The sequence below is a fragment of the Homo sapiens genome, chromosome 10, assembly GCF_000001405.40.
Source record: "Homo sapiens chromosome 10, GRCh38.p14 Primary Assembly".
Lineage (NCBI taxonomy): Eukaryota > Metazoa > Chordata > Mammalia > Primates > Hominidae > Homo > Homo sapiens.
In genome coordinates this window covers 35,050,767-35,065,778 of record NC_000010.11, presented here as the reverse complement: position 1 = coordinate 35,065,778, position 15,012 = coordinate 35,050,767, and the positions used below count along the sequence as shown (strand labels likewise).

At 39.1% G+C, this 15,012-nt stretch overlaps 1 protein-coding gene across 11 annotated transcripts in view; it reads left to right on the top strand.

Moving 5' to 3' along the window:
• CUL2 (cullin 2) overlaps positions 1–15,012 on the top strand; it is a 118,456-nt gene that overhangs the window by 61,228 nt on the left and 42,216 nt on the right. For 9 of the 11 annotated variants that reach the window (XM_011519745.2, XM_047425852.1, XM_011519743.1 and 6 more), the window contains 3 exons: positions 2,717–2,819; positions 4,811–4,905; positions 11,240–11,345. In XM_011519745.2, coding sequence (XP_011518047.1) covers positions 2,717–2,819; positions 4,811–4,905; positions 11,240–11,345 — 304 coding nt within the window. Of the gene's footprint in view, positions 1–2,716; positions 2,820–4,810; positions 4,906–10,934; positions 11,056–11,239; positions 11,346–15,012 lie in introns of all 11 variants that reach the window. The other 2 variants (NM_001324376.2, NM_001324375.2) reach the window with 2 other exon arrangements.

Sequence of the window (15,012 nt, the reverse complement as noted above, 5' to 3'; positions counted from 1 at the left end):
TAAGCAATTCTCCTGCCTCAGCCTCCCGAGTAGCTGGCATTACAGGCATGTGCCACCACACCTGGCTAATTTTGTATTTTTAGTAGAGATAGGGTTTCAACATGTTGGCCAGGATGGTCTCAATCTCTTTTTTTAAATTTTTATTTATTTATTTATTTTTGAGATGGAGTCTCGCTCTGTAGCCCAGGCTGGAGTGCAGTGGTGCGATCTTGGCTCACTGCAACCTCCATCTCTCGGGTTCACGCCATTCTCCTGCCTCAGCCTCTTGAGTGGCTGGGACTACAGGCACCTGTCACCACGCCGGCTAATTTTTTTGTGTTTTAGTAGAGATGGGGTTTCACCATGTTAGCCAGGATGGTCTCGATCTCCTGACCTCATGATCTGCCCACCTTGGCCTCCTAAAGTGCTGGGATTACAGGCGTGAGTCATCATGGCTGGCCTCGATCTCTTGACCTGGTGATCTGCCCGCCTTGGCTTCCCAAAGTGCTGGGATTACAGGCATCAGCCATCATGCCCAGCCAACATTTTTTGTCTTTTAAAGTGTCTTGTCTATAATCAAGTCATAACTGAGTGTTGGAGGTTGAAAATCTCATTTTCGTAGGTGTTCTTCATAAGGGCTAAACGTTTCCTGGTTGGTTGGATATTTGAATAGGTTAGAGAAAAAGAACATAGTTAATTGGTTAAAATTATACAGTGATTTGAGACCCAAAACTATGGTGAGTTAAAACATAAACTTTAAAATTTTATTAAGGTGGATTCACTGCATTAAAAAAATATGTATATTCTGAAGGAGTCCAACAGTGCAGAAGTACTGTATATGGAATGAAATGGGAGAGTCTCCCTGTACCACCTCTCTTGTGTAGCTCCTTTCTCCTTAAGCTGGAGATTTGGCACAAATCCTTCCAGTAGATTTTGTTTACATTTACATGCAGTGGATATATTGAGCGGTGGCTCATACCTGTAATCCTAGCACTTTGGGAGGCCGAGGCAGAAGGATTGCCTGAGCCCAAGAGTTTGAGACCAGCCTAGACAACATGGTGAGACCCTGTTTCTACAAAAAAATTTTTTCAAGTAAAAATATAAATAAATAAAGCTTAAAAATATATAAATAGAACTGATAAAAAATTTATAAGTAAGTAAATAAATGTGGAGAGGGCTGCTTGCGCTTTCTGGAGTAAGGATGCTAGGTAAATGGAGCATGTGAGATTGATTTTGCATCTCCTTTCCTTCAGCAGGATTTAATAAATCATCAAGTGCTAGGAACCATGCCTGGGAGCTGGGAGTATGGAGTTGATGAAGAATAGGCTAATGTGGTTGGGAAAAGTATAAATAAATTTTACTGTATAAAAATAAATTTTGTAGAAGAATGTATATGAAGTGTCGGGGGGACATAGAGGAGAAAGAATTTGCATCCTTATTTTTAAGTTAACATTTTTATTTCATAGTATTTCCTAATCTTTCTATTAAACTTTAATACCTGACTTCATCCTGAATCATCAGCCTTATTTCCAGTTTGTATCTGCATCTTTAGTTAGGCTGGTCTCAGGTTGCTCATAGGTCCTTTATCTTCTATATTTGGTTAATGATGGACAGTTTATAAAGTACTTTAACATATATGAATTTATTTGGGTCTTACAGGACCTGTGGAGATGTCAGGGAAAGATTCATTATCTTTACCTTGGAGACACTTGGTGGTGGTCATCGTACTGATAAGATGGCATAGCTTTATCATGGAACAGTCTGGAGTATAACCACCAGGAGGTCCTGACCTCTGTGTTGCTCTGGTGTCATTGTTCCTGTGGACAAATGAGCTGTTACCTCCAAAATGCCTTGTCACAGTAGTTGGAGGCAGCATATGAAACACCTAGTTCCCAGAATCATAATCTAATACCGTGTCTGGCCCCAAAGTTATAAATGGGCTTTGCCTTAAGTCTTATCTTTTGTTCTTCTTGGTTTATAATGTTTCTAATTATTGGAGATGTTGAGAAGATCCAATAAAGCAAAGGATATTAAAAAAAAAAAAAAAAAAGGAAATGCCACCCGAGAGAGGCTAGGAAACTTGGTTAAGATCACTGGCTAGTGAAAGGTAAAGTCTCAGGTCTTACTTCTTTCCACTCCTTCTGTTATCTACCTCCGGTGAGACTTAGCAAGGTACTTAGTTGATGTTCAGAAACTTAATTGATATTCCTATTCATGGTATATTTCTTCTGATAGAATAACGGTAGAGTATCCTGACTGCTATGATGTAGGAGGCTGTGTCAAATGAATAATTTTTGTTTAGTTTCTCAGAATTGCTTAGACATGTCTGCCTCTTGTCATATTCCATAGCCCTTCATTGATACTATGAATACTAATATCATTGATACTATTGATACTAATATCCATTCTAATATAAACCTTATTTTGTAGGATTCTGGGTAATTTGATTTTCCAGAAACTCCCTCTGGATTTTAACCTCTCTGATAAGAACCATTTTCCTTACAGTGTCTTCAAATAATTCTCAATAAATACTTGTGGAATGAATAAGTGAATGAATCTTAGATAAAGTAAGCATGGTTATGTATTCTATCTTGTCATATATACAACAGTATTATGTATATTATAAGCTAAACCACAAAAAGAAATGTTTTTTCATTTTTTAATGCCAAACAAGGTAAATCTCATTATGTTTTAAAATTGTCTCCAATAAATATGAAAACCTTAATAATTTAACTAGAGATATCTATGCTTTATGTGTGGCCTATCCTGAACCCCTTGGAGAAAGACTTTATACAGAAACTAAGATTTTTTTGGAAAATCATGTTCGGCATTTGCATAAGGTAAGCAATGATACATACGTGATATAAATATGTTGATAGTTGTATACTTTACTAGTTTACTGTTTTCCAGTGTAGAACTTTTATCAAGGTCAGCTTGTTTTGCTGCTGCTGCTGCTTTTTTTAAATACAGGGTCTTGCTCTGTTGCCCAGGCTAGGGTGCAGTGGCGCGATCATGGCTCACTGCAGCCCCGACTTCCCTGGCTTACGTGATCCTCCCACCTCAGCCTCCCGAGTAGCTAGGAATACAGACACACACCACCACACCTGGCAATTTTTTTTTTTTTTTTTTGGTAGAGATGGGGGTCTCACTATATTGCCTAGGCTGGTCTCAAACTCCTGGGCTCCAGTGATCCTCCGGCCTTGGCCTCCCTTGTTTTTGCTTCTTAATCAGCATTTTAAAAATATATACATATTAAGATCTTTGAGTCAAGCACTGTGTTAGGGAAATCAGTTTACTTGCTCAGCATCTCGTAATTAGTAAATGAAGGAGAGGGTCAGCTCAGGGTTTGTTGAGTTTTAAAATGTGCTCCTACGTCCTCTGGATAGTGTTTATACAGCCAAATTTTCCCTCGTTTTTTATTCCTATCTCTTGGTAAATCTCTGTCTTTATTATTTTCAGCTTTTTAGCTGCCTTTCATGTGCTATATGAAGTCTTCCCAAAATCTAAAATTAAAAAGAAATGGTAAATGGTGATAGAAGCTGTCTCTGTGACCAGTTTTTTTATTAGTATGCTGTACATAGAGGGGCAGCATCACAGACATGATCTGTGTATAAACAGTGAATTTTGCAGTATTTTGCTATAGACAGCATTTCCAACTTAATTTAGACTACTGATCTAATCAGGAACTGGATGAGATAATTTAGTGCCTGCGTAAGAATCTTCACTCTGCTTTTTATTAGCTGTTGTAACCACGGGCAACTCACTTAACAACTACCTTATGGACTGAGTTTTGACTTTATCTATAAAATGGGAATAAAACAACACAGTTTTATTTAAACTGTCTAACCCTGCACGTGGTCAGGAGTAGATACTTTTTTAAATGGTAAGAACTGGCCTGGTGCGGTGGCTTACACCTGTAATCTCTGTACTTTGGGAGGCTGAGGCAGGAGGATCATATGAGGCCAGGAGTTCAAGAGCAGCCTGGGCAATATAGTGAGACACTACCTGTACCAAAAAAAAAAAAAAAAAACCCTCATAAGTAAGGCACAATTGATTGTGTGCTGTTTCCCTGAAAATATTGGAAAATGCTCTACTTTTGATAGTATATGGCATGTGCATTTTAGTGTTCTAATGTGATCATTTATCTGCTTATAAAAGTGCTTTTGATAGCAAGTGTGTTAAAGTGGTCTTAAAGTGTTTAGTATGTTAAAGTTCTGCTATTGTAAGCTAGTGAGCTTTGGTTAACACCATAAGTGATAACTATGTAAGACATTAATAATTTTTTTGCAATTTTATATTTTAGGTTACATTATAAGTGTGATTTTTTTTTTTTTTTTTGGGAGACAGAGTCTTGCTCTGTCACCCAGCCTGGAGTGCAGTGGTGGGGTCTCGGTGCGATCGGGTTCAAGTGATTCTCCTGCCTCAACTTCCCAAGTAGCTGGAACTTACAGGCATGTGCCACCACGGCTGGCTAATTTTTTTTTATTTAGTAGAGACGGGGTTTCACCATGTTGGTCAGGCTGGTCTTGAACTCCTGACCTCAGGTGATCCACCCGCCTTGGCCTCCCAAAGTGCTGGAATTACAGGCGTGAGCCACTGCGCTCGGCTCAGTTTATTCTCTATTATGGATGCTTCACTTTCATTTTGAAGACTCACATCTTTCCCAGTTGTTTCATTTTTAATACGTGTAGTTAATATGTGTTGTGTAAATGTAATTTGTACAGCTAGAATTATGTAAATTATTTTAGAACATTAATTTTGATACATTTTATTGTTGACAGTGAAAATGATTATTGCTTTTCAAGTAAAAATATTTTTCCTCTTTATATAGAGAGTTTTGGAGTCAGAAGAACAAGTACTTGTTATGTATCATAGGTACTGGGAAGAATACAGCAAGGGTGCAGACTATATGGACTGCTTATATAGGTGAGTGTGCCTTTAAAATCTAGACAAGCTAAGCAGCGTTGCCTGCATTCAGTAGTTGACAGGATAATTTTTTTATTGCCTATTTCTCATTCACATATGCAAAACTAAAGCATTCTCTCTGACATGGACTTTTCTCTGCTGTGGGGAAAGGTCTATAGTCAGGGTAAGGTGGGTATTTAGGAGCCAGGGAGTGTGTGGAACGTTCTGTGAAAAGTAAAACTGTACTCGATTGCATGGCTCTGTTTCTTCTGATTGTTTACAACCTGTAGCACATGTTTAATCTCAACAGAGATCAATGTGAAAATTCAACTTGCATGAAACTTAGTGGGAAAATCTCAGCTCATGTCCCCTCGATATGTTCTTATTTGACTCTAGCATTCAGTATTTTATGTTTGATGCAAACGATGTTAGATAAATTACTGGGTTATTTTCCCCTTGAAGTTCTGCATTCCCCATGGTCTAGGCATATTGAATTACTTGTAGTTTCCTAATGGCCCATGGTCTCTCCCATCTTCCTGCCTTTCCTGGTGCTGTTCCATCTGCCTGGATTGCTTCTCTTTCTTTTTCTATTTTTCTTTCTTTTATTTTGTCCTTTTTTTTATTTTTTATTTTTTGAGGCAGGATCTCACCTAGGCTGCAGTGTAGTTGCATGATCTCAGCTCACTGCAGCCTCAGCCTCCTGGGCCCTAGCAATCCTCCCACCTCGAACACCCTTCTCCCCAGTTGCTGGAACAACAGGTGTGCACCGCCATGCCTGGCTAATGTTGTTCATTTTTTGTAGAGATGCTGTCTCACTATGTTGCCCAGGATGGTCTTGAACTCCTGAGCTTAAGCAGTCCTCCCTCCTCAGTCTCCCAAAGTGCTGGGATTACAGGCATGAGCCACTGTGCCTGGCTAAATTAGTACTATTAAATTGGTGCTATTTGTGAACTTTTAGTAAATGTTGCAGCCTATTTAATATGTGTTTGTGTATGTGTGTGTAAAATGATATGAGTTAGTTAGTATCTCTGTTTTTTACAGAGGAAGAAAGCAATGCTGAGAGCATGATTTTGTTGAAGGTCACTCAGCTAATGAATCACAAAGGCAGGATTTAAACCCAGATCAGTCTGAATCCAAAGCCCATCCATTTAACCACTTCATTCTACCATAATCTTGTTCCAGAAACATGGTATTTCACTTAAGTAGATTCTATTCTCAATCTTCTTGTACAGGCATACTTTGGAGATGATGTGGGTTCAGTTCCAGACCACCACATGTAAAGGGAATATTGCAGTAAGACAAGTCACACAAGTTGTTTGGTTTCCCAGTGCATATAAGTTATGTTTATGCTATACTGTAGTCTGTTAAGTGTGCAGTAGCATTGTCTAAAAAAATGTGCACAACTTAATTTAAAATTACTTTATTGCTAAAAAAAATGCTGTTGATCATTTGAGCCTTCAGCAAGTTGTAATCCTTTTGCCAGTCTTCTTACCTCGGTGTTGATGGCTGCTGACTGATCATGGTGGTGGTTGCTGAAGGTTGGGGAGGCTGTGGCAATGTCTTAAAATAAGACAACAATGAAGTTAGCTGCATCAGTTGACTCTTTCTTCACAAAAGATTTCTCTCTAGGGTGCAATGCTGTTGGATAGCATTTTACCTGCAGTAGAAATTCTTACGAAATTGGAGTCAGTCCTCTCAAACCCTGCCACCACCTTATCAGCTAGGCTTATGTAATATTTGAATCCTTTGTTGTCATTTCAACAATGTTCATACCGTCTTATTAGGAGTAGATTCTGTCTCAAGAAACCACTTTCTCATCCATAAGAAGCAACTCCTTATCCATTCAAGTTATATCATGAGATTGCAGCAATTCAGTCCCATCTTCAGGATCCACTTCTGAGTTCTCTTGATGTTTCCACCACACCTCCAGTCACTTCCTCCCCTGAAGTCTTGACCCCCTAACTCATCCATGAGGGTTGGAAGTGTTAACTGAATTGAGTGACTGAGGCAGCTGTCTCAATCAAGGTTTATTGAGCTAGCTTAAGGATGCTCCCAGGAAAAACGCAAGGCACAGATGCATCTGTGGCTGTTTTGTCCAAAGAGGTTCTTAGGAGGGTTAGTGTTTATACATTTTCCTTAAAACATGAGGGGTGGTGGCAGTGAGGCAAATGGTTACCTACTTGTGAGACTAATTAATGCCCAGTAAATCTACATTTTATATAAGATAAACCTTTGAAGCAAAAGGAAATAGAAGAAGAAAACAGTTGTGCAGACATCTCAGGGAAGGAATGATTACTCTCATCTTGCCTTTGCTCTGTGCCTGGGAATTATCAGCTAAGAATCGACACTTATCAGGTGGATGCTAGCAGACCTTAGGTTTTAGGAACTAGACTTTAGACTACAGATCTGGAGTTACAATGGACCTGTCCTTGTGTTATGGGAGGATTTACATTTTAATGGTTTCGAGGCTAGCAAAGAATTTACGAATGAGTGACTTTTTGAGGCGGGTTAGTCATCAGGAAATGGCTGAGGCTTTTTGCCTTACCACGGGGGTCTGGCTAATATATAATGTTTCGACACAAACTTGTAAGAGTTATTCGTCCAGGAAGAGGATGGCCATTTAGCATGACTCAGCCTCCAAGGTTAAATTCCTGTTTTGGCATAGGAGTTTTGGGAATCCTGAGATTTTATTTCCCTTTATAGAATCAGCATCTTCTAATCACCTGTTCATAATGATATTTAGACCTTCTCCCATGAATCATAAATGTTCTTTTTTTAAAAATTTTATTACTAATTTTTGGGACCGAGTCTCGCTGTTTCCCCGGCTGGAGTGCAGTGGCACAATCTTGGCTCACTGCAGCATCCGCCTCCCAGATTCAAGTGATTCTCCTTCCTCAGCCTCCTGAGTAGCTGGGATTACTGGCACGCGCCACCACACCTGGCTAATTTTTGTATTTTTTTTTAGTAGAGATGGGGTTTCACCATGTTGGCCAGGATGGTCTCGAACTCCTGACCTCGAGTGATCCACCTGCCTCAGCCTCCCAAAGTGCTGGGATTACAGGCGTGAGCCACTGCGTCCAGCCCATGTCTTTATTAAGAAGCAAATATGTGGTTAATAAATTTGATTGTAAAATACTACAGTGACTTATAAAATAAGAATGGTGTCCATATTAAAATGAAAAATGGCACTGTTTATATTTTAAATTGTGACTTTATTTTCTTTTTTTCTTTTTTTTTTTTTTCAGACGGAGTCTTGCTCCGTCGCCCAGGCTGGAGTGCAGTGGCACGATCTCGGCTCACTGCAACCTCCGCCTCCTGGGTTCAAGTGATTCTCCTGCCTCAGCCTCCTGAGTAGCTGGGATTACAGGCAACCACCACCATGCCTGGCTAATTTTTGTATTTTTTTAGTAGAGACGGGGTTTCACCATGTTGGCCAGACTGGTCTCCTGACCTCAGGTGATCTGCCTGCCTCAGCCTCCCAAAGTGCCAGGATTACAGACATGAGCCACCGTGCCTGGCCATGACTTTATTTTAAAACATTGTATTTCAAGCTTAAATTTACCAAGAGTAAAAATCTGCAATAAGAAAGACATAGTTAATGTAAGTTAGTTTAAATTTTATTCTGTGAGGAAAAGATAATACTGGTTTGTCTTTGCAGATACAAAGCATGTAAAGCTGCACTAAATCAATACCTGGCTCAAGAATATACATCTAGATCTTTGGAATGGATTAGTGAATGCAGGCCTGATCTGCAGATTTAGCATCTGCTTCTATGCTAGGCAGTTTACACTTATTATGTAGGTAAAGGAAGCTCCTGTAGAATTCTGAATAGGAAAGTAACATCCTGACAGCAGAATTTTTAGATGAATTAAAGATGCCAGAAACTGAAGTAGAGCCCAGTCATAAAAGTGTTCCACATAATCGGGGCAGAGGGTCAGCAAGTAGATTGGAAGTCAAAGGAAGTAGTGAGAGGAAGTGATGCATACTTTAGGAAGACAGGAAGACTGACTGATTAAAGCAGGCAAAATGGAAGGATGAGATAAGTGATTCTGATGTTTTAGGCGAGGTTACTGGAATGGTCTTGGTGCCAGTGACCAGAAAAGAAAACTGGTTTGGAGCAGATTCCGTATTGGAAGGCATATGTAAATGGTAATATGACAATTAAGTACCCTCTACTGAGGGAGCACCGCTCCTGACGAAATCTTATATTTGTTTGTATATTGTACCACAGAGTGAGCTCTGTGTGGGCAGAGACCATATTTTTGCTTTTCATCTTTGTGTTTCCAGTGCCTCATGTTGACCTGGCACACGATATACCCTCAGCCGATGTTGAATGGGAGTGGAAGACCTCTCCTGAGTTTCTGTGCCAGCCCTGCCACTTAGGAGCCGATTGACCTTTGGCAAGCTCTTTAACCTCTCTAGGCTGCAGCTTTCTTATGTATAAAATGATCATAGGAGTACCACATACATCTGTCTTATAGTATTCAGCCACATAAAATGCTTAGGGCTGTGTCTGACAGGTGATCTCAATAAATGTTAGTGATTACTTTTATTTCCTGGTATTCATGGCTTTTATGATCTGGCTGCAGGCTGCTTTTCCAGGTTTGTGTTCTACTGTTAGCTTTTGCTATCCTTGCTGTCTGGAATGTTATCCATTTATTTATTCAGTAATTATTTTTTGAGGACTTGACTTTTGCCTGCCACTACTGTGGATGCTGTCTACAAGAGGAGGTTCTTGCTTTGTATACTGTACATTCTAGAGAGAAGATGAATGCACAAAAAAAGAAACCAATAAAAGCATAGGATTATTTCATATAGTAGCAATTACTGTGAAGAAAGTAAAACAGTTGTGCGTTAAATAGTTACTTGCTTAGGGCTGGGAAGTGAAGGCTAACTCCTCTGGGGTTCAGGGCACACCTGAAAGGTGTGTCTGTGCTGAGACTCGGATGAAAGGGGACTGACTACCCTCAGAATATCTGGGATGGGGCACTTAGGTGGAGAGGCCATCCCCTCTTTACCTTTTACTTTTGTCTCTCAATCTTATTCCTCTTTCCTTAGCTGGAAGGCATGGTTGGAAACTCAGCATGAAATTTTGAGAGTTACAGTGAGGATAGAGAGGAAGGAATAAATGGCATTTTAAAGGGGAAAAAAAAGAGTATGATCTTGTAACTTATGGTCAGAGGACACTAAAATATCAAATGGTACATCAAGGTTGTAAGCCATGGAGTCTAGAGCCTTGACTAGTGAATATGGAGATGGAGCTTGTGTAAATGGTTGTGGGTATACCACTTTGGAGTCAATTTTCTAGGAGTTATTATTATTATTTCCTTAAGAGACAGTCTCGCTGTTACCCAGGCTGCTCTCAAACTGCTGGCCTCAAGTGATCCTCCCGCCTCAGCCTCCCAAAGCACTGGGATTACAGGCGTGAGCCCCGACGCCTGGCCAGGAATTATGTGTTTAATTGTTTCCCAAAATTGTTGTCTTGTTTTGGTTGTCTTCGTTTTTAATTTGTCTGTAAATGCTGAGTGGACCCTTCATTTTGGTGTAGTGAATTTTGAAAAGTGTATATATTCATGTATAGATTTCATGGGTTGTTGCCTAAAATACTTGTATTGTCAGTAGCTATTTACACTAGCAGAACCTTTCAAATGAATAGTTTTAGGTGGTGACTGTTTAAAGGCATTATAGTGAAATCTGGAATCCTAAAAACTACACAGTTGAACATTACGAGTCCTTTCTCCATGTTTTATTTTATTTTAGATTTCTGTATTCATCTCAGTTATTCTGAGTTAATCACATATATTAGTCTTGAAATATATTAAACATTTTTAGTATAATTCATTTTCCTCTGGTAGACAAAGTCATCTTGTATCTGTCAATCTTGCCCATACTTACTATCTGTAACACTGTGTTCCATTTTCTTACCTACTGATTGTGATCTTTTTTGTTTAAAAATGAAAAATTGCATTTCTTCCTGGTGATTAGAATATAAATTAGAAAGCTAACTTGACTTTTATCTTTTAACCATTCTCTGTTTAATTTTTGGAAAGTGGACTTTATCTTGACTTTCCCAAGAAGAGTCTGGGAAGTAGCAAACGAGATTATAGAAATTCTGAAACTTGGATAAGAGCTGTTGGGCTAGAAGGGTATTGTAAGGGCTTGCAGAGAAAGGTGGGCTGATAATTTTAATTTTTATTATATTTCTAATCTCTACATAATTCATTTCTTTTGGATTTGTTAGTAGGCTATTCCATGGCTTATATGTAATCTTAAAAATATTCTTCTAAAGTTGCAAGTCATTTGCTTTCCTACTGACTTTAACTTAATATCCATTGATATTACATTTATTTTCCAGGTATCTCAACACCCAGTTTATTAAAAAGAATAAATTAACAGAAGCGGACCTTCAGTATGGCTATGGTGGTGTAGATATGAATGAACCACTTATGGAAATAGGAGAGGTAGGACATTCTTTAAGTGACTAGCAAACATAAGTATGTTTTTATACACTGAGGTAATTTGATTGCACATCATTTTTTAAGGACACTGATTTGGCTAGCTTAAAATGGTCAAGATTTAAAAGATCCTAAATAAAATGCTATAGTGATTTCCTAAGAATCCTCAGGAACGAAAAAGATGTGACAACTACTCTTTTGATAATTAAATTTATAATGGATGAATGATAGAGTTAATGGTTCTGCATTGTGAAAAAACTCAGAAACAATTATAAAGTGTTGACGGCCCTGTAGTTAAAAAGTGCAGGGGACAAGTACTTAAAAGACAGGCTAGAGGAGAGGAAACACAAATTTATGGATACAACAAATTTATTGTAACTTTACTTTAAAAGTAATTAAATTCAGAGTGAAACAATTAAATGGGCAGTTTGGTCCATTCAAGTTCTTGAGGTACAGTGCAAATTAAAATATGGAAAATTATGCTGATTGTGAAAGAAGTATTATTGTACAAGCTTGTTTATTCATTTAATACATCTTTATTGAGTAGCCAGGCATTGGGGATACAATGGTGAACAGACAGAAGGTCCCTGCACACAAAAGCTTGTAAGTTCATGTAAGGGAAGCAGATGCCAAATAGGAAATTAATGTTAACTTGTGATTTATGTTAATGAAGGAAATAAACAGGCTAAGAGGCAGCATTAGGAGACATTTAAGGTAGTGTAATCCTTTCCGAAAGAAATTGATCAGTGTCTTTCTTTCAGTACAGTTTAAAATACTTAATACCTTTTGACCAAGTAATCCCAAGTCCTAAGCCTAGTGATCCATACTTGGAAAATAATAAATATTAGAAAAGAGTTTAATGTTTAAAAGTATTCTTTGCAATCATTGTTAATAGGGTGCCTAATGGCTGAACAGTGTAAAATTTCAGCATCCAACATTCAGCAATAAAAAGCATGGAAGAAGAATGTATTATATATGATATGATTTTGTTATAAAAGTAGGCAAATGGATAAATTAATAGCAGAAAATTGTTCATAGAAACTTTAACAAAGGGGACATTGTTTATGAAAAAATTTGGACACAAAATTATAGGTATATGTTGAATACAAATACAATTATAGGGAAAAGATGATATAGAGAAAAAGATCAATGAGAAATACCAAAATATTAACAGTAGTTGCTTTTAGTTAGTAGCATTGTAAGTGAATAAATCATTCCCTTATCACCAGCACTGTCAAGCACACTTCTCTTCCCAGAAAATCACTGTAAACAATTTAGTTCGCATCTTTTCTGAACTTTACCTGTGTATTTATAAATATTTACATAAACACACACACACACAGCAGTTTTGATTTTATTTTTCAAACTGCGATAAAACGGCACACATAAAGTTCTACAGCCTATATTTCTTGCCTTTTTTTTTGTTATTTGTTACTGTCTGTCTTTTTACATAAGTTTGTTTTTTGTGAAAGCTTAATATTCTGTAGAGATACAGAATAATTTTTTAAACTATCCCTTTAATTTTTTTTTTTCTTTTTTTTTTTTGAGACGGAGTCTCGCTGTGTCACCCAGGCTGGAGTGCAGTGGTGTGATCTTGGCTCACTGCAAGCTCTGCCTCCCAGGTTCACACTAGTCTCCTGCCTCAGCCTCCCAAGTAGCTGGGACTACAGGCGCCTGCCACCACACCCGGCTAATTTTTTGTATATTTAGTAGAGGCGGGGTTTCACCGTGTTAGCCAGGATGGTCTCGATCTCCTGACCTTGTGATCCGCCTGCCTCCGCTTCTCAAAGTGCTGGGATTACAGGTATGAGCCACCGCGCCCCCCAATTTTTAATTTTTTGTTATTACAAACAACACTGCAGTGAACACCACTATTCATTTATTCATTCATTAAGTATTTTTGAACCCGTCTGTGTTATATATGTTGAATACAACAGTGAACAAAATAGAGAAAAATCTTATGCTCATGGAGTTATATTTATGTGTATCTCTTGGTACATGAGCAGAACTTTTTATAGACTGGGTGTCAGGAAGTGGAGCCTCTGTCGAAGCACATCCTGAAGTTTCGCAGCTCTGCCCCATTGCCTTTCAGAAGGGCCTTTACCAGTTTGCCCTTCCACCACATGTGTAAAATACCAGTTTTTCATGTATTGCCTCCCCAACCCCCATTCATGCTATTAAGAAAGAAAGGCAAAACTTGAACAGTGTTCCTTGTGGGAAGACAGATGCTTAATTACCAATGGATCAGAATAAAATTACCCTAGGGAAACAATAGGGAGGCTAGCAACAGCCTATCTGGATGTAGTTAGGGTGGAAAAAGAGAAGAGTCAAACAAACAAAAAATTGGTTTTCAGTACTGGAATAATTTATACTCTATGTGGGGAAAATATATTTGAAGTTTAAAGGCCTAAATGTGAAAGGCAAAGCTTGAAAACTTGGAAGGCAGAGTAGGACCACACATATGCCTATTACCTTAGGGCAGAGAAGGATTTCTTAAAAAATACCCATGATAAAGAAGATTGGTAAATTTGAGTATATTAAACTTTAATATATTTTTACCAAAACACAATAAAGAAACCGAGCAGTTGATTTACTGGGACAGACTGTGAAACTTTCAAGGGATTAATTTCCACAATATATAAAAAACTCTAGCTTTTATTAAGAACAAGACAAACTTTAACAGACTAACGGGCAAAATTAGGAATGGGCGTTTCACAGGGAAGAACCCAAAATGGACAATAAACATTAAAGAATTCCCAGCTTCATTCAGTAAAATGAGAGTTAAAACCACAAGGAGACACTATTTTTTGTTGTTGTTGTTGTTGTTTTGAGACGGAGTCTTGCTGTCGCCCAGGCTGGAGTGCAGTGGCACGATCTCGGCTCACTGCAGGCTCCGCCCGGCCGGTTCACGCCATTCTCCTGCCTCAGCCTCCCGAGTAGCTGGGACTACAGGCGCCCGCCACCTCGCCCGGCTAATTTTTTGTATTTTTAGTAGAGACGGGATTTCACTATGTTAGCCAGGATGGTCTCCATCTCCTGACCTTGTGATCCGCCCGCCTCGGCCTCCCAAAGTGCTGGGATTACAGGCGTGAGCCACCGCGCCTGGCCGGTTTTTTTTCTTTTTTGAGACGGAGTCTCGCTCTGTCACCTGGGCGGGAGTGCAGTGGCGCGATCTCGGCTCACTGCAAGCTCCGCCTCCCGGGTTCACACCGTTCTCCTGCCTCAGCCTCCCGCATAGCTGGGACTATAGGCACCCGCCACCACGCCCCGCTAATTTTTTGTATTTTTAGTAGAGATGGGGTTTCACCCTGTTAGCCAGGATGGTTTCAATCTCCTGACCTCGTGATCCGCCCGTCTCAGCCTCCCAAAGTGCTGGGATTACAGGCGTGAGCCACTGTGCCTGGCCAAGGAGACACTATTTTATGTCCAGCAGACTGGCAAAATTTGACTAAAGCCTGGCAGTACCACTTGTTGTCAAGGATGGGGACTAATGGGAAATCTTGTGCTTTGCTATGCAAGTATAAATTGGAAAATCATTTGGCTTGATTTAGTAAAGCTGCATGAGCACTTGATTGTTCAGTACAGGATCTCAACTTGTAGATGTATATCAGAGAATCTGTTGCTTATGTGGGCCAAATGATGCATACAGGAATCACAGCATTGTTTCCAGTAG